We start from the raw sequence: 19,986 nt of genomic DNA, 5'->3' as shown, positions 1-19,986 counted from the left end.
ATCCCAGCTACTCAGGATGCTGAGGCATGAGAATAGCTTGAACCTGGGAGGCGGAGGTTGCAGTGAGCCAAGATCACGCCACTGCACTCCAGCCTGGGCAACAAGAGCAAGACTCTGTCTCAAAAAAAAAAAAAAAATTAGCTGGGTGTGGTGGCACACGCCTGTAATCTCAGCTACTTGGGAGGCTGAGGCAGGAGAATCACGTGAACCTGGGAGGTGGAGGTTGCAGTGAGCCACGATCATGCGACTGTATCCCAGCCTGGGTGACAAAAGACAGACTCTGTCTCAAAAAAAAAAAAAGAAGAAGAAGGTGGTGGGGGTGGTTTCAAGAAGCATAAGAGATATTAATATTGAATGTTTTCCCCAAAACAGCTAAATACAGGATAGTCTAATTCGTTTCAGAGAAGAACATTTCCACGTGCACTTCATTTTCATTTCACTTTTATTACATGAAATCTGTACTCAGCTCCTTCTCCATTTCTGCCAGCAAAACGTCACTTTGCAGGTCTGTCCTTTGCAAGTAATGCTGAGTAGTTCACTTCAGAACCAGGCCTCAAAAACTGCAAGTCTTAAAATTTAACAAGGGGGTCTCAGAAAGAACAGGGAAGGTCAGAAAAAAATGTTACTTATTTATTTTATTTTTGAGACAGTCTCACTCTGTTACCCAGGCTGGAGTGCAGTGGTGTGATCTCATCTCATTGCAACCTCCGCCTCTAGTTTAAGCAATCCTCCCACCTCAGCCTCCCAAGTATCTGGGATCACAGGCACGTGCCACCACGCCCAGCTAATTTTTGTATTTTTTGGTAGAGACGGGGTTTCACATGTTGGCCAGGCTGGTCTTGAACTCCTGACCTCAAGTGATCCGCCTGCCTCGGCCTCCCAAAGTGCTGGGATTACAGATGTGAGCCACTACGCCTAGCCCTTTTTTTTTTTTTTTTTTTTTTTTTGAGACAGTCTCATTCTGTCACCCAGGCTGGAATGCAGTGGTGCGATCACAGCCCTGCAGCCTCAACCTCCTGGGCTTGAGTGATCCTCCCACCTCAGCCTCCTGAGTAGCTGGGGCTACAGATGCAAGCTACTACACCCAGCTCATTTATGTATTTTTAGTAGAGACGGAGTCTCGCTATGTTGTTTAGGCTGGTCTCAAACTCCTGGGCTCAAGCAATCCTCCCATCTTGGCCTCCCAAAGTGCTGGGATTATAGGCATGAACCACCACACCCGGCCAGAGAGAATGTTCTACATCACAAAGTATTTAAAATAATTTATTCTAAATAATCTATTTTAAATAAAATATTTTAGATTATTTATAATCATAATAAACTGTTTTAAATAAGCTGATTTGTGATGATGGTAACTTGAGAGCGGCCACCACAATCCTGCCCTCTGCTGTCAAATGGGAAGTGCAGAGTCATGTGAATATCTGTAACAGTTACCCACTTGTGCTGTGATTAAAATAAGCCTTTTCTTGCAAGTATAATGTAAACATAGACTTTAGAAATTGTTGCCATGTCTTGCACCAAAAAAAAAGGAAAAGAAGAAAAAGAAAAAGGAAGAAAAGAAGACCTACAAAAAGGACATTATTTCTACATGGTTACCTTAGTTGATAGTTGTTGCTCTGGTGATAGTGTTGTCATGGGCATCTCTGTATTCTTAACAGATACTTTTAAGGTTTACTTGTTAAATCTGAAGAGCATCGTTGGCCTTCTTTCTTCCCACATGCGTGATGGAAAATGTCCAACTCCTCTGGGCTTATTTAACAATGAGTTTGAGAGTTTGAATTAGGAAGCTGGACTCTGCTTATCAGGAAATTGTGATAATTCAACCTGCTTGGGACAGAAGTTGGCTCTTGTTAACATGTAGAAAAATGGTTTTTAATGATATCACATTTTTTAGTGATTGAATCTGGTGGGCATTACTAATTTCAAACTAATATATTACTTTTGTGATTACTTTGTTAACACTAAATTATGGTTGGAAAGTCATAACATGAGGCTGGGTTCGGTGGCTCATGCCCGTAATACCAGCACTTTGGGAGGCCGAGGCGGGTAGATTAATATATTAATTTAATATATTAATATTAAAATAATAAATTTTAATATTTCAGGATTTTCATAAATTCAAAAAGGGCTCTTCTGTAATTTGAACAGGGTCAATGGCTTCTGCTGTAGACTGTTTCTGAAAAGGGCAGGAGAGAGGAAAACATAAGATAGAGGAAAGAATAACATGAGCACTGAGGTCTCCAAGAAAATTGCTGAGCAGTTTTTAGTGGGCACCTCTAATTAACATTTCAAATAACAGCATCATGCTTTTGCTTAATGTACAGTACATGACTCTCCTTCATACTTATTCTCATCTTCTTTCCTAAAAGGGGAGACACAAACTCCCCTCAGTCACCGTATTCAGTTCTGTATGATGTTAATTCCTCTTCTATTTCAGGCACAGTCCTGGATAGTCTGTCCCTGGAGACTCTGAGGTTAATCACCACCCACTTTCCTTATGTAAAATAGCTGGAGAAAAGAGAAATAAAACTGAAATTGATTCATATATACAAATACAAACAGACTAAAGTATGCATATTTACTACAGTCTTCTTTACTATAACTAGTCAGAGACCATCATTAATATTTATAACTTCCTTCTTTCACTATCTGTTTCATTGCTACCTTTGCCCTCAGCCACCCTCTCAGCTGATCAGCGTTCTGTATCTGGAGGAATAACCTAAAATTTTATTCCTGAAGGATCTGAGGCCTTAGTGATCTCATTTTTATTGGGTTGCTATAATCTTCCATTAACTTTTACTGTTGGACATAGGACGAGAGTGTTTATGTACTACTTAAACTAAGGTGGTATTTTTCAAACTAGGTTGTTACAAGTTTAAGATGTCATATGTAATTTACAAGGCAACCACTTAGGCAATTACTAAAAAAAGACAGAAAAGGAAAGAAGAAAGAAATCAAAATGAAACATTACAAAAAATCAACTAAATACAAAAAAGGCAGTAATGGAGGAACTGAGGAACCAAAAACCATATAAGACATACAGAAAACAAATAGATAAATGGCAAGAACTCTACAAAATTTGTAGATTTGTATCCTAATCTGATTTTCTGTCTCTGTGAATTTGACAGAAAGCAGATTAGAGGCTACCAGAGACTGGCTCATGGAGTTCTTGCAGAACACTACCATAACCCCAGAAACTGTCCTCATGCCCCTTCTGGTCAGTCTTCATTGACAATCTCCCAAAGCAATTCACTGTCCTGATTTTTTTCCAACATGGATTTATTTAGCCTCTTCTAGAACTTTGTTTAAATGGAACCATAGAGCATGCTTCCTTTAAGGCTTCTGTCACTCAGCAAAATGCTTTTGAGATTCATCTATGTTGTGGGTAGCAGTGACTCATTCCTTTTTATTACTGAGTAGTGTTCCAATGAATGAATTTACTACAGTTGAGCATTTTCCTATGGATGGCTGCTAGGGCTGCTTCCTGTTTGGGATTACTGTGAGTAAACCAGAAACGTACATTATAGTACAAGTCTTTTGGTGAAAATATATTTCATTCCTCTTGGTGCACACCAAAGGGTGGGACACTGGGTCAGAGAGTAGATGCATGTTTAGTTTTACAAGAAACTCCCAGGCCTAGGTTGCAGTGAACCAAGATCACACCACTCCACTCCAGCCTGGGTGACAGAGTGAGACTCCATCTCAAAAAAAAAAAAAAAAAAAAAAAAAAAAAGAAGAGGAAGAAAAGACAAACTCCCAGGCCTTTTCCGAAAGTGATTGGACCAGTAATGTGTGAGAGAGCTCTGGTTGTTCCACATCCTCACAAATATTTGACTTTGTGGGTTATTTTAATTTTAGCAATTTTGAGGGTATAAAATGGTGTGTGATGGATGTGAAATGTACTTTTAATTTACATTTCCCTGATGACTAACAATATTGAACATTTTCATGGGTTAATTGGCTACTCATATGTGTCTTCTTCACAAAGTGCCTGTTCTAATCTTTTACTTATTTTTTTATCAAGAATACAATACATTGTTATTAACTGTAGTCACCATGTTTTACAATAGGCCTCTTGAACTTATTCCTGCTGTCTAACTGAAATTTGGTATCCTTTGATCAACATCACCCCATCTCTCCAGCCCCTGGTAACCATATCTGACTCTGCTTCTATGAGTTTCATCAATTTTTTTTTTTTTTTTGGAGACAGGGTCTCACCCTATCGCCCAGGCAGGAGTGTAGTGGCATTATCTCTGTTCACTGCAGCCTCAACCTCCCAGGCTCAAGCAATCCTCCCACTTCAGCCTCCTGAGCAACTGGGACTACAGGCACATGCCACCACACTGGCTAATTTTTGCATTTTTAGTAGAGATGGGGGTTTTGCCATATTGGCCAGGCTGGTTTCTAACTCCTGGCCTCAAGTGATCCCCTTGCCTCAGCCTCCCAAAGTGCTAGGATTACAGGCATGAGCCACTGCACCTGGCCAAGTTCGACCTTTTTTAGATTCCACACATAAGTGAGACTATGCAGTATTTATCTTTCAGTACCTCACGTTTTTCACATAACGTATCCTCCAGGTTCACCCATGGGAATCTTTTACCCATTTTTAAATTTAGTTATTGGGGTTTTATTATTGAGTTGCAGGAACTTTAAAAGTACACGATGGGTACTAGTGAGGCGCGAGAATAGGGTCTGGAGGCAAGGAACCTAAAGGCAATTAGCACTGACTTCCTAGAACTGAATCAAAAGGAAAATCTCTCCACAGCAAAGTAACAAAAGGATCAAAGGCTACTCCCTTTGCACTGCCTTGAAGATGAACAATGGAAAGTACTTCTGATTGATTCCCTCCCACAAATAAATAAGAAATATTTATTTTTTGAGGCAGGGTTTCGCTCTGTCACCCAAACGGGAGTGCAGTGGCACAATCCTGGCTCACTGCAGCTTCCAACCCCCCATACTCAAGAGATCCTCCCACCTCAGCCTCCCAGGTAGCTGGGACTACAGGTATAGACGACCATATTCTGGCTAGTTTTTGTGTTTTTTGTAGAGACAGGGTTTCGTCAGGTTGCCCAGGCTGGTCTTGAACTCCTGGCCTCAAGCAATCTGCCTGCCTCGGCCTCCCAAAGTGCTGGGATTACAGGCATGAGTCACTGCACCCAGCCAAAATAGGAATTTTTAAAAATAAAATAAACCACCAAAGATGTGGTGGCCAAACCCTTGTTGGAGAGATGAGACCTGCAACACTGGGATCCAACCAACCATCTCAGCAGAAACAGCTTGGATAGAATAAGAAAACAGCCCTTGCTGGAGGAGAAAACAGCCCTAGAGACACAGAGACAGACAAAGGAGAATGCCATATGAGGATGGAGGCAGAGACAGGGTGAGAGCTACCTACAAGCCAGGGACACCAAGGGGCATGGCAGCCTCCAGAACTGGGGAGAGAAACCAACCCTGGGACACTTCGATTTCAGGCTTCCAGTTTTCAGAACTGAGATTTATATTGTCTTTTCTTTTCTTTCTCTCTCTCTCTCTTTTTTTTTTTTTTTTTTTTTTTTTTTTTTTTTTTTTTTGAGACAGAGTTTCACTCTGTCACCTAGGCTGGAATGCAGTGGCGCCATCTCAGCTCACTGCAACCTCCACCTCCCAGGTTCACATGATTCTCATGCCTCGGCCTCCCGAGTAGCTGGGATTACAGGTGCACAACACCACGCCTGGCCAGATTATATTGTTTCAAGATACTCCATTTGTGGTAATTTGTTATGGCAGTCCTTGGAAACGAATACACATACTTTAAAAAATAATTATATAGCAAAAATCTTTGGGGAGGAAGGACCCTGCCAGGGTAAATTAGCATACATTCTTGGAGGGCAATTTGTAATTGGTTACAGTTTGCACAAAGGAAGAGATTCCAGGTCAATTTCACCTGCTATTGTTTACAAGAACAAAAGATGGAAACAATTAGTAGCAGGCTGATAGATACATTATAGAACATCCACTCACTGTAAACACACAAAAGGAACAAACACAGGACTGTTGATAAGATTTTCTTTAAAAAGAGAAACCTGAAGCAAATATGGTGAAATATTTTTAAAATAAAATGACATAATGGGGATGCAACAGCAAAATACACAAAGGTGGAACCCCTACAGGACGAAGGCACCCAGTTTTTTAAAAATAAATAAATTACAAGGAAGGAAAAAAACAGTGAACGCCACTAGCAGAGACTCATGGAGGTTCTGGTTCTGTGTGGCAGAGTAAGTACCTACGGGAATGGACCTTTCTGCGGAGAATGAGTGGAAACTCTGGCCAGGCACGGTGCCTCATGCCTGTGATCCCAACACTTTGGGAGGCCAAGGCAGACGAATCACCTGAGGTCGGGAGTTCAAGACCAGCCGGACCAATATGGTGAAAATCCATCTCTCCTAAAAATACAAAAATTAGCCAGGCTATGGTGGCATGTGCCTGTAATCTCAGCTACTCAGGAGGCTGAGGTGGTAGAATCACATGAACCCAGGAGGCGGAGGTTGCAGTGAGCCGAGATGGCGCCACTGCACTCTAGCCTGGGCAACAGAGGGAGACCTTGTCTCAAAAAAAAAAAACCTTCTTTTATTTTTACTATCCTGGAATGTAATATATCTGAGGAAATTTGCTGTTAATGCCTAGATGTGAGGAAACGGAGAATCGTGGAAAATTGTCTCCCAACAGCAGCAAGAGGAAAGCAGTTTATCACACATGGAAGTGAGAGGTGACAACTCGCTAGCAGCCCTCGCTCTCGGCGCCTCCTCGGCCTCGGCGTTCGAGGAGCCCTTCAGCCTGCCGCTGCACTGTGGGGGCCCCTCTCTGGGGCTGGTCGAGGCGGAGCCGGCTCCCTCTGTTGGCGGGGAGATGTGGAGGTAGAGGCACAGGTGGGAGCCGGGGCCGCGAGCGGTACTCGCTGGACGGCGCGGGTTCCGGTTGGGCGTGGGCTCCGCGGGCGGCCGGCCGGCACCTGCTAGGCTTGATCGGGGGACAAGCTCCCTCTGGGATGCTGGAGTGCACGGGCTAGGTGCTGCAAAGTCCTGAGGTGAGTGCCATTGAGAGGTGAAGTCGGCTGGGCTTCTGGGTTGGGTGGGGACCTGAAGAACTTTTGTGTCTAGCTAAAGGTTTGTAAATGTACCAATCAGCACTCTGTGTCTAGCTAAAGGTTTGTAAATACACCAATCAGCACTCTGTGTCTAGCTAAAGGTTTGTAAATACACCAATCAGCACTCTGTGTCTAGCTAAAGGTTTGTAAACACACCAATCAGCACTCTGTGTCTAGCTAATAGGGTAGGGGACTTGGAGAACTTTTTGTGTCTAGCTAAAGGATTGTAAATGCACCAATCAGTGCTCTGTGTCTAACTAAAGGTTTGTAAATGCACCAATCAGTGCTCTGTCAAAATGGACCAATCAGCTCTCTGTAAAATGGACTAATCAGCTCTCTGTAAAATGGACCAATCAGCAGGATGCGGGTGGGGCCAGATAAGGGAATAAACGCAGGCCACCCGAGCCAGCAACGGCAGACCTGCTGGGGTTCCCTTCCATGCTGTGGAAGCCTTCTTCTTTCCCTCTTTGCCATAAATTTTGCTGCTGCTCACTCTTTGGGTCTGTGCTACCTTTGTGACCTGTAACACTCCCTGTGAAGGTGTGCAGCTTCATTTCTGAGACCAGCGAGACCAGGAACCCACCGGGAGGGACGAACAACTCCAGATGTGCAGCTTTAGGAGCTGTAACACTGACCGCCAAGGTCTGTAGCTTCACACCTGAAGCCAGCGACACCACGAACCCACCAGAAGGAACAAACTCTGAACATGTCGGAACATAAGAAGGAACAAACTCCGGACACACCATTTTTAAAAATTGTAACACTCACCGCAAGGGTCCACGGCTTCATTCTTGAAGTCAATGAGACCAAGAACCCACCAGTGCCAGACAACAGAAGGAAAAGCCTGGAATGGCTGCTAACTTCTCATCAGAAACGAGGGGGCTGGAAGACACTGAAACATCTTTGAAGTGCCAAAAGAAAAAAATTCTAACCCAGATTCTACTTCCAACAAAAAAGATTTGTTTTTCTTTTTCTTTTTTGAGAGGGAGTCTTGCTCTGTCACTCAGGCTGGAGTGCAGTGGTGCAACCTTGGCTCACTGCAACCTCCACCTCCCTAGTTCAAGCAATTCCCCTGCCTCAGCCTCCCAAGTAGCTGGGATTACAGGAGCATGCCACCACGCCAGGTTAATTTTTTTTTGTATTTTTAGTAGAAACAGGGTCGGACCATGTTGGACATACTGGTCTCAAACTCCTGACCTCGGGCAATCCGCCTGCCTTGGCCCCCCAAAATGCTGGGATTACAGGTGTAAGCCACTGCACCCAGCCAGAAGATTTTTCAAGAATGAACATTAAATGAATGTACAGGCCGGGTGTGGTGGTTCATATCTGTAATCCCAGCACTTTGGGAGGCTGAGGCAGGCTGATCACCTGAGGTCACGAGTTCAATACTAACCTCGCCAACATGGTGAAACTCCATCTCTACTAAAAATACAAAAATTAGCCAGGTGTGGTGGTGCACACCTGTAGTCCCAGCTATTCAGGAGGCTGAGGAAGGAGAATCACTTGAACCCAGAAGGCAGAGGTTGCAGTAGCTGAGATCACCCCACTGCACTCCAGCCTGGGTGACAGAGTGAGACTCCATCTCAAAAATAGAAAAATAGATTTACAGATTTTAAAAATTGAAAATTATACTATAAAAAATTAAAATTATACTTTTAAAAATTAAAAGAATTCATCACTAGTATACCTGCACTGCAAAAATCCTAAAAGAAATTATTCAGCCAAGGGGAAAGAATACTAGATGAAAACCAGAACTTTAGGAAAAAATAGAGTGTCAAGGCCAGGCATGGAGGCTCATGACTGTAATTCTAGCACTTTGGGAGGCTGAGGTGGGAGGATTACTTGCATCCAGGAGTTTGAGACCAGCCTGGGGAACATAGGGAGGCCGAGGTGGGAGGATTACTTGCATCCAGGAGTTTGAGACCAGCCTGGGGAACATAGGGAGGCCCTATCTCTACAACAAACAGAAGAAAAAAAAAAAGCTGGGTGTGGTGGTGCATGACCGTAGTCACAGCTACCCAGGAAGCTGAGGCAGGAGAATTGCTTGAACCTGGGGGGTCAAGCCTGCAGTGATCTTTGACTACACCACTGCACTCAAGCCTGGATGACAGAGTGAAACCCTGTCTCAAAAAAAAAAAGGGGCTTACTGTAAAACTACAGTAATCAAGCCAGTATGGTACTGGTAAAAGGATAAACAGATCAATGGAACAGAATAGAAAGCCAATAAATAAATCATATTTATATTATTTAATTTTTGACAAAGGCCCAAAGCAATCCAATGAAGAAAGTAAAGTCAGCCAGGCATGGCAGCTCATGCCTCTAATCCCAGCACTTTGGGAGGCTGAGGTGAGAGAATCACTTGAGCCTAGGAGTTTGATTCCAGCCTGGGCAACATAGTGAGACCCTGTTTCTACCAAAAAATATGTACAAAAATTAGCTGGGCATGGTGGCATGCACTGGTAGTCCCTGCTGTGGTTGGAGGATAGCTTGAGCCTGGGAGATTGAGGCTGCCATAAGCTGTGATCGAGCCACTGCACTCCAGCCTTTGCAACCCCATCTCAATTTTAAAAAGAAAAAAAATACTGGGTGCGGTGGCTCACTCCTGTAATCCCAGCACTTTGGGAGGCCGAGGCGGGTGGATCACGAGGTCAGGAGTTTGCGACCAGCCTGGCCATCATGGTGAAACCCCATCTCTACTAAAAATACAAAAATTACTTAGGTGTGGTGGTGGGCGCCTGTAATCCCAGCTACTCAGGAGACTGAGGCAGGAAAATCACTTGAAACCAGAAGGTGGAGGTTGCGATGAGCCGAGATCGCAGCATTGCACTCCAGCCTGAGCAACAAGAGTGAAATGCCGTCTCAAAAAATAAGTCTTTTCAATACATGGCTCTGGAATTACTATATGTCATTATGGGGTAATAAATGAACGTTAATCTCATACAAAATTCAAAATTCAGTCAAGATGAACGATAGACCTAAACATAAGAGGGTGAAAACAGGATTATGCCTTCAGGAATTGGTGGAAGCGGGGTGTGGGGGTGGTAGACAAAAGTTTCTTAGGTTAGAAAATAATAATAAAGTAAGTTCTGATAAACTTTACTAAATTAAAACTGCACATCAAAAACTATTAAGAAAATAATTCGGCAAGCCACACGGGGGTGGGGGAAATATGCAAAAAAACGTGTGAAAAAGGACTAGTGTTACCAGTCGAGGGTCTTGACTACAAGTCATCCAGGTTCTTGATGTTTTGAACAAGACTGGGTCAAAACGCACAAACAAAGCAATGAAAGAATGAAGCAACGAAGGCACAGGTTTATTGAAATGAAAGTACACTCCACAGAGTTGGGAGCAGGCTTGAGCAAGCAGCTCAAGAGCACTGGTTACAGAATTTTCTGGGGTTTAAATACCTTCTAGAGGTTTCCCATTGGTTACCTGGTTACACCCTATGTAAATGAAGGAATGGCCCACGACCAGTCTGATTGTCTGGGGAAGGCTACCAATCAGAGGCTGAGGTGAAGTAACAAAGTTACACCCCTGTGCATATGAAGGTTAGGCCCATGACCAGTTTGATTGGTTGTGGGAGGCGACCAATCAGAGGTACTTTCCATTTTTCATCTGCAAAGTAGTGCAAACGGAGTAGCCTCTGATCCTTCTGTTACTTTGGTGTGGAGAGGTGGGATTTTCCTTTTGATTCAGCTCTAGGAAGTCTGTGCTAATCAGCCTTAGGTTCCCTGCCTCCAGACCCTATTCCCCTGCCTCATACCCAGTAGTGGAATTGCTGGATTATATGTTAGTTTATTTTTAGTTTTTTGAGGAACCTCCATACTGTTTTCCATAATGCTGTACTAATTCACATTCCCACCAACAAAAGGGAAAATGGTTCCCTTTTCTCCACATCCTTGTCAACACCTGTTACCCCTTGTCTTTCTGATAACAGCCATTCTAACAGGTGTGAGGTGATAGCTCATTGTGATTTTAATTTGCGTTTTCCCCATGATTAGTGATGATAATTTTTTTTTCGTTTACCCATTGGCTGTTTGTATGTCTTCTTTAAGAAGTGTCTATTCATATCCTTCCCCTATTTTTTAATTGGGTTGTTTTCTTGCTATTGAGTTGGGTTCTTTATATATTTTGGATATTAACCCATTATCAGATGTATGGTTTGAAAATATTTTCTCCATTCTACAGATTGTCACTTCACTCAGTTGATTGTTTCCTTTGCTGTGCAGAAGTGTTTCATTTTCATGTAATCTCATCTACATCTTTTGCTTTTGTTGCCTATGTTTTTGGGGTCATAGCCAAAAAGTTATTGCCCAGACCAGTGGAGCTCATGGAGCTTTTCCCCTCTGTTTTCTTCTAGTAGTTATACAGTTTCAGATATATTTAAGTCTTTAATCCATTTTGATTTTTGTATATGGAGTGAAATAAAGATCTAATTTTATTCTTTTGCTTGTGGACATCCAGTTTTCCCCACACCATTTGTTGAAGAGATGTCCTTTCTCCATTGTGTGTTCTTGGTACCTTCACCAAAAATCAGCTGGTTATAACTGCATGAATTTATTTCTCGGCTTTCTAATCCGTTCCATTGGTCTATGTGTCTGTTTTTATGCCACTACCATGCTATTTGGATTACTAAGCTTTGTGATATATTTTGAAGCCAACTAGTGTGATGCCTCCAGCTTTGGTTTTGTTGCTCAAGATTGTTTTGACCATGCAGTGTCTTTTGTGTTTCCATATGAATTTTTTTTTTTCAAGATGGAGTTTCGCTCTTGTTGCCCAGGCTGGAGTGCAATGGCACAATCTTGGCTCACTGCAATGGTTGCACTCCGCCTCCTGGGTTCAAGAGATTCGCCTGCCTCAACCTCCCAAGCAGCTGGGACTACAGGCACCTGCCACCATGCCTGACTAATTTTTTGTATTTTTAGTAGAGACAGGGTTTCACCATGTTGACCTGGCTGGTCTCAAACTCCTGACCTCAGGTGATCCACCTGCCTTGGCCTCCCAAAGTGCTGGGATTACAGGCGAGAGCCACTGTGCCCGATCTGGTTCCATATGAATTTTACCATCATTTTTTATATTCCTGTGAAAAATGTTGCTGGGAACAGGCCCCCCAAATCTGGCCATAAACAGGCCATGAGAAACTGGCCATAAACTAAATCTCTGCAGCACTGTGACATGCTTGTGATGGCTATGACACTCACGCTGGAAGTTGTTGGTTTACTGGAATGAGGGCAAGGAACACCTGGTCCACCCAGGGCAGAAAACCACTCAAGGCGTTCCTAAACCACAAACAATAGCATGAGTGATCTGTGCCTTCAGAATATGTTCCTGCTGCAGATAACAAGCCAGAGTCTGTCCCTTTGTTTCCCATAAGGAATGCTTTTAGCTAATCTATAATCTATAGAAATAATCCTTATCACTGTCTTGCTGTCAATAAATATGTGGGTCAAACGCTGTTCGTGGCTCTCAGCTCTGAAGGCTGTCAGCCCCCGATCCACTTTGCACTCTATTTCTGTGTCTTTGTCTTCATTCCTCTAGCACTGCTGGGTTGAGGTCTCCACGACCGAGCTGGCCTTGGTAAGTGGCGCCCAAATGTGGGGCTCGAACCTGGGTCGAAGTGCTGCCGGAGCAACGGTTGGAGAATGTGGACCTACACTGGAGGACACCCGAGTACTCTTAAGCAATCCCTGTGGTGAGTAAGGGGAGCTCGGAAGCATCCGGGTAACAATGGGACAAGGGTCCAGCAGGCAGGAGGCTTATATGAGTCTGCTTCGGCAGCTGCTCAGAAAGGAGGAGTGAAGGTTAGCACTAGCCAACTTATGCAGCTTTTTAGTGCAGTAGAGAAATATTGCCCCTGGTTTCTGGACTGAGGAACTATGAATGTAGAGGTCTGGGAGAAGGTAGGCAGCTCACTGAAAAAGGCATATAAGGATAGTGCTGAGGATATTCCTATAACTGTCTGGTCAGTGTGGGCTCTGGTTCGTTCCACCTTGGAGCCTTTTCACACAGATGACAAGGAGGAGGAATCAGAGGAAGAAGGAGAGTATAACGAAGTAACAGAAGAGGTGACAGAGCAGGTTTGCTTGCCAGCTAAAGCGGCAAAGGAGGGAGAGGTTTGTCCCTACCCCTCTACACCGCCTCATTATTTTGAAGAAAAAGAGTGGCCTGACCCTCAGATCTTTCTTTTCCAGAGGACACTGGACGAAAAGCAGTTGCCCAAGTGACTATTCGAGCAGCGCCTCGAGTGACCACTCTCAGTTCTATTCAGGCAGGAATCCAGCAAGCTAGACGAGAGGGTGATATGAATGCTTGGCAGTTCCCTGTTAGAACACACCCACCTGATCAACAGGGGAATATTATAGCTACATTTGAGCCTTTTCCTTTTAAAGTACTTAAATAATTTAAACAAGCTAGTAATCAATATGGACCAGTTTCTCCTTTTGTGATGTGACAGTTAAAGAATGTTGCTGTCTCCAGTGGGATGATTTCTACTGACTGGGATGCTTTTACTCGAGCTTGCCTGACTCTGCTCAGTTCTTACGATTTAAAACTTGGTGGGCAGATGAAGCTTCCATTCAGGCTGCTTGCAACGCCCAGGCCCAACCTCAAATTAATATAACTGCAGACCAACTTTTGGGGGTCGGCAGCTGGGTTGGTTTAGATGCATAAGTGGTAATGCAGGATGATGCCATAGAGCAGCTTAGAGGAGTGTGCATTAGAGCATGGGAAAAATCACTTCAGGAGGAGAACAATACCCTTCCTTTAGTGCTATAAAATAGGGACCAAAAGAACCATATGCAGATTTTATAGTTCGGTTACAGGAGTCTCTTAAAAAGGTGATTGCAGATTCGGCTGCTCAGGATATAGTGTTGCGGTTACTAGCTTTCAACAATGCCAATCCTGAGTGCCAAGCCGCTCTGCGACCTATTAGAGGGAAAGCACATTTAGTTGATTATATTAAGGCCTGTGACAGTATTGGAGGTAGTCTGCATAAAGCTACTTTGTTGGCACAAGCTATGGCAGAACTGAGAGTGGGTAAAGGAAATACTGTGTTTCCTGGAGCTTGTTTTAACCATGGGAAGCATGGTCATATTAAAAAAATAGAGAAAGAATCAGCGAGTCAGGCTGCCAGATGGAGGAAAAAAGAAAACTGCTGAGTCTGAAATATGTCCAAAATGTAAAAAAGGAAAACATTGGGCTAATAAATGTCACTCTAAGTTTGATAAAGATGGGAACGTGATTTTGGGAAATGCCATGAGGGGCCTGTCCTGGGCCCCGTTCTAAACCAGGGCATTTCCAGCTCAGGCCATTCCCTCACCCCTGTACAATGTCTGTCCCCTGCTACAGCCGGTAGTGCCGCAGTAGATTTATGCTGCACAAAAGCTGTGAGCCTTCTGCCTGGGGAACCCCTGCAAAAAGTGCTAACAGGCGTCTGTGGACCCTTGCCAGCAGGGATGGTAGGATTGCTTCTAGGCAGGTCTCGTTTAAATTTAAAAGGAGTGCAAGTACATATAGGAGTCATTAAGATTACAATGGGGAAATTCAAATTGTTATAACTACTTCTGTTCCCTGGAAAGCAGAGCCAGGAGAGCATACAGCATAGCTCCTTGTTGTGCCGTATATGGAAATGGGGAAAAGTAAAATTAAATGAACAGGAGGATTTGGAAGCACAAATAAATAAGGCAAAGCAGCTTATTGGCTAAATCAAATTACTAATAAACGTCCTACCTGTGAAATAACTATTCAGGGAAAGAAATTTAAAGGATTGGTAGATACAGGAGTGGACATTTCAATCATTTTTCTACAGCACTGGCCGTCCGCGTGGACAATTCAACCCGTATCTTTAGAAGCAGCACTCCCTTTCCAGTGGCAAAATCTGTAAGGTTTCCTAGGGCTTCCATAATAAATTGCCACATGCTTGGTGGCTTAAAACAACAGAAATTGATTCTCTCATGGTCCTTGGGGCCAGAAGTTTGAAATCAAGGTTTTGGCAGGGTTATGCTCTGACAGCTCCATGAAGAATCCACTGTTGCCCCTTCCTGATTCTGCTGGCTGCCAGCAATCCTTGGTGTTCCTTGGGTTGAATCACCCCAACCTCTGCCTCCGTCTTTACATGGTCTTCTTTCTGTGCACCTGTTTGTCATCAAATCTCTCTCTTTGTGAGGAATCAGCCATTGGATTTAGGGCCCATCCTAATCCCGTATGACCTCATCTTAACCTCATTACATCTGCAAAGACTCTATTTTCAAATAAGTACCAGAGGTTAGGACTTTAACATATTTTGGCAGGAGTGGACATAATTCAACCCACAACAAAAATCTCTGGATCTTTGACATTCTGTTGCATCCTGCAGCTGACACTCTCCAATGACTGTTGTGATTTCTTGATGCCAACAGTTGGATGGATACAAACCCAGATACCACATGGCTTTTTGGTCAGTATCTCCAGAAGACTCCAACTTTTTCCTGCTAACGTGGACTCCCATTTCCCTGCCTGGTGCATATATTAACTATTTGACCTGACCAGAATCCCAGCTCCCAACTCTCCTGTTTTGTTTTGGCTTTTTTTGAGACAGGGTCTTGTCACCCAGGCTGGAGAGTAGAAGAGTGATCACAGCTCACTGCCACCTCAACCTCCTGGGCTCAAGTAATGCTCTTGCCTCAGCCTCTCAAAGCAGTGGGATTACAGGTGTAAGCCACCACACTGGCCCCAACTCTCTCTTCCTGATACAAGTAATTTTGGGCATCCTCCTTCCCACTCAGTGCAGCTGTGTGGGGCCTGCTTGTCAAGGTGCCTGTCCTCCCCTGGCCAAGATGGGCTGGGTGACTCAAGTTAGCCAATCAGACTCTTCCTACTAGGGCTTTGACACCTAGGTAGAGTAGCAAGATGATGGAAAAATAGATGGGATGAATTCAACTTTGTTTTGTGGTCCCCCAGGCCACTCTCAGGTTTGATGATTCGCTAGGAGGGCTCACAGAATTTGGAAAAACTGTTATGCTCACAGTTACAGTTTATTATGGGAAAAGAATACATCAAAGACTTGCCAGAACTTGGGGATAAAAAGAATACAGATTAAAATCAGCATAGGAAAAAGGGACAATAGGGCAGAGTTCAGGAGAAACCGGGGTGAACTTCCAGGAGTTCTCTGCGGAGTCACATGGACAACACTTAGTCCTCCCAGCAACAACGTGTGACAATAATACACACCAATTACTGTCAATGAGGAAAGCTTACCCAAGTCTTGGTGCCAGGATTTTTATTGGAGGTCAGTCATATAGGCATGGAGCATCTACATGACTGGCCTTAGCAATTTATTCCTCAGTTCCCCACCCATCCAGAAGTCAAAGAGATACAGCATGGCCCAGGGCTCCCAGCAAATAAAAACAGGTCTTCCCCATAAACCACACTGTTAGCATAAGGTGTAGGCAGGGCTGAAGTCTCAGGTCACAAAGGTGCTCTCCTCAGGCATATTCCAAAGACCCAGAAGTTAGCTCCCCAGAGCTGGTCAGGGGCCAGTCCTTCCTTCGGAATGTTCAGGATTTGAGCAACCTAGTTCCACCGAGGTAACCCTTTTTAGCACACACTTGCTCCCTGATACTCAACATTTCATGAGAGGAGAGGGAGTTTCTACTCCACTCCTCAGAATGGAGATTGGTGGGGAAAACATATATCTTATGCGAGGCCGACTGACTTACCTGATTGTGGAGGTTTGAGGGACAAAACTGAGCTTGTCCTGTTCAGTGCTCCCTTAGGATCCCCGCGCAGCACTTCCGGCTTGCTCTCCGCCATGTTGGATCTCAGGCTTGCACACCCATTCCTGCCCGGGGGCTTTTGTCCTCGCTGTTCCCTCTGCCTGGAATGCTCTTCCTCGTGCATCTCCGTGGCCTCCTCCACTTCATTCGGGCTTCACTAAACTTCATAGGGGCCAGAATACATTTTCCTCATTATCACATTGGCTGGTTGTTCCTAATAGAAAAATAGGTCAGCAGCCTCGCTGGAGGGAACTGGGCAGCCGTGAGTCAGGGGAAGAGCATGTGTCTGCCACAGCTCGGCTCTCACTGCTGCTGTAGAGCCACTGCCTCCAGGCCCAGCTGCAGCTGCTTCTGTTAATTAATCTTCTTTCATTTGTTGGGGCTGAACAAGACCCACCCACAGACCACATGGGCCTGAGGATTAAATTTTGTATGGTGCAGAAAAATTTCAAATGGGAACTAACATGTCTGTGACAAGTGGAATTGTGGCAGAAAAGGCTAGCTGTAGCCCATATCCATTCTCCCCTTCAACTCTTAGTGTTATAACAAAAGAATCCTTGAGTTTTAACAAGGTTGGCAGAGGCTCAATGTTGCGGAGAAAAGAGGCTACAGACTCGTAATTCAAAAGCAAGACTTTGCTGTTTATAAGAACTGCATCGGCCGGGCACGGTGCCTCACGCCTGTAATCCCAGCACTTTGGGAGGCCGAGGCAAGTGGATCACCTGAGGTCGGAAGTTCGAGACCAGCCTGACCAACGTGGAGAAAATGGTGAAACCCCATCCCTCCTAAAAATACAGAATTAGCCAGGTGTGGTGGCGCATACCTGTAATCCCAGCTATTTAGGAGGCTGAGGCAGGAGAATCGCTTGAATCTGGGAGGCAGAGGTTGTGGTGAGCCAAGATTGCACCATTGCACTCCAGCCTGGGCAACAAGAGTGAAACTTCATCAGAAAGAAAGAGAGAGGGAGGGAGGGAGGGAGGAAAGAAGGAAGGAAGGAAGGAAGGAAGGAAGGAAGGAAGGAAAGAAAGAAAAGCTGGGAGGGAGGGAGGGAGGAAAGAAAGAAAGAGAAAGAAAGAGAGAGAAAGAAAGAAATTTGGGACTTTTGGGGTTGGCAGTATTTAGATGAGATTTTGTAACTGGAGTTGATAATGGAATGGGTTCAGACTTTTAGGGGTGTTGGAATAGGGTGACTATACATTGCAAGTGGGAAGAACATGAATTTATGGGAACCAGAGGGTAGACTATTGTGGGTAGATTCATATCTCTGAAAAAGATCTGTTGAAGTCCTGTTGTTTTAAGCCACCAACTTTGTGTTGATTTGCTATGGCAGCCACAGGAAACTACTCCAGCGGTCAATGTGAAAGGGTTGTCAGTGGGAGGCCAGGCTCCAGCAGGGGCCAGCATGCAGGAGGCTGTTCCCCAAAAGGGCTGTATGTGCAAAGTGGCCCCCAAATGCCAGAGGAGCCAAAAAACCAAAGAATGGGGCAGACATTCAGTTGTCGGTATAGGGTGATTTATTAGGGGCATTTATAGACAGAAGCGTGGTCTTGGGTGGCCACAAGACAGGTAGATCCTCACGTTGCAATCCCCCAGATCCAGGTCTTATGTCTTGGGGAAGAAGCATAGTGCTCTGGAAGGAGTGTGTAGGTGGCTATGGGCATCACAGCCTATGATGTATGCAACAACATCCAGGGTTGTTTTGGAAGAAAGGTGAATCTTACAGTGACTAGGTGTTTCTACGTAAAAAGCAATATGTCAACCCCACATTTTGGAGGCATTCCTGGACTCAAGAGTTAGTCAGAAGTGGCATGGTGGATTAGTATTTAAAAGAGTCATGCTTGACCCCACAGATGGAAGTTCTTAGATAAGAACTTATAAGAGCAAGGCAGGCCGGGCATGGTGGCTCACACCTGTAATCCCAGCACTTTGGAAGGCCAAGGAGGGCAGACCACAAGGTCAGGAGTTTGGGACCAGCCTGGCCATTATGGTGTAACCCTGTCTCTCCTAAAAGTACAAAAAAAAATTAGCCAGGCGTGGTGATGCACACCTGTAATCCCAGCTACTCAGGAGGCTGAGGCAGGACAATTGCTTGAACCTGGGAGGCAGAGGTTGCGGTGAGCCGAGAGCCGAGATCGCGCCACTGCCCTCCAGCCTGGGCGACAGAGGGGGACTCCGTCTCAAAAAAAAAAAAAAGCAAGGCAAAGGTCTCAGTCCTAAAGAGCCCTGGTCCTGGGGTGCCACAAACTGCTGTGGCTCACAGATGAAAATGAGGCCAGGCATGGTGGCTCACACCTGTAATCCCAGCACTTTGACAGGCCGAGGTAGGAGGATTGATTGAGGCCAGAAGTTTGACACCAGCCTGGGCAAAATAGCAAGACCCCATCTCTACAAAAAATTGTAAAAATTAGCCAGGCATGGTGTTGCACACTTACAGTCCCAGCTACTTGGGAGGCTGAGGTGGGAGGATGACTTAAGCCCTGGAGATTGAGGCTGCAGTGAGCTGTGATTGTACCACTGCACTCCAGCCTGGGTGACAGAGCAAGACCTCATCTAAAAAAAAAATCCAGGTAACTATCAGTGTCTCTTGTGGCTGGTTGCTGCCACGTGACTAAATTCTGACCAGTGAAGATTTGAGCACAAGCATCCTGTGTTCCTTTTAAGTGCGTATCCTTTAAGGGGCAGGATGGTACCTTCCCTGCCCTTCCCCCTTCTCTCTTCCTGGTGGCTGTGGCTGGAGGTGGCAGTGTGCAGGGACACCATGCAGACCTGGCCGTACTGCAGGGATGATGGAGGCGGCCTGAGTTCTGGGCACTGGCACTGCCTCCCTGACGCCAGACTTCTTATACCCAAGGCGGCTCTGAAATAAGCATCTGTCTTGTTCAAGCTCTCTTGTTTTGTGTTGCTATTACACGTGGCCAAAGCTATATTCTAACATATGTAGAGACTTGGAATTGGGGTGTGAAATCCAGGCCAGATGGCCTAGGGAGTAGGGGATGTGGGGAGTGGGGGAGCTTAGCTGAGGTGGGCGGGACAGGCAGGGCGGGCTTGGAGCCCAGGCATCGGTCACATGGAAGGGACGGCCGCAGGAGCTGCCGGAGTGGCTTTAGCTGT

The 19,986-nt window shown here is 45.0% G+C and overlaps 1 long non-coding RNA gene across 2 annotated transcripts, besides 2 other annotated features; it reads right to left on the bottom strand.

The window, feature by feature from the left end:
- Positions 1 to 2,162: 2,162 nt before the first annotated feature.
- Positions 2,163 to 17,220, bottom strand: LINC01563 (long intergenic non-protein coding RNA 1563). Of its 2 annotated transcripts, NR_110895.1 has the most exons (3): positions 16,819 to 17,220; positions 7,892 to 8,015; positions 2,163 to 2,508 (listed from the first exon to the last, which is right to left on the bottom strand). It is a non-coding gene; the product is annotated as a long intergenic non-protein coding RNA 1563 (long non-coding RNA). The 2 variants fall into 2 exon arrangements; NR_110896.1 differs by lacking the exon at positions 7,892 to 8,015.
- Positions 6,994 to 8,193: an enhancer, noted in NCBI's record as "BRD4-independent group 4 enhancer chr17:20987896-20989095 (GRCh37/hg19 assembly coordinates)". NCBI's record gives its function as "activates an origin of replication core promoter dependent on BRD2, P300/CBP, MED14 and CDK7 cofactors, and independent of BRD4, by STARR-seq in HCT116 cells {active_cell/tissue: HCT116}" and the evidence as "EXISTENCE:reporter gene assay evidence [ECO:0000049][PMID:35650434]".
- Positions 17,039 to 17,539: an enhancer, noted in NCBI's record as "H3K4me1 hESC enhancer chr17:20978550-20979050 (GRCh37/hg19 assembly coordinates)". NCBI's record gives its function as "activates a minimal SCP1, AML or CMV promoter by ChIP-STARR-seq in naive H9 embryonic stem cells {active_cell/tissue: H9 hESC(naive)}" and the evidence as "EXISTENCE:reporter gene assay evidence [ECO:0000049][PMID:30033119]".

Source organism: Homo sapiens, chromosome 17 (assembly GCF_000001405.40).
Source record: "Homo sapiens chromosome 17, GRCh38.p14 Primary Assembly".
NCBI classification, from domain to species: domain Eukaryota; kingdom Metazoa; phylum Chordata; class Mammalia; order Primates; family Hominidae; genus Homo; species Homo sapiens.
The sequence above is the reverse complement of the archived record's forward strand: the minus strand, read 5'-3'. Positions and strand labels throughout refer to the sequence as shown.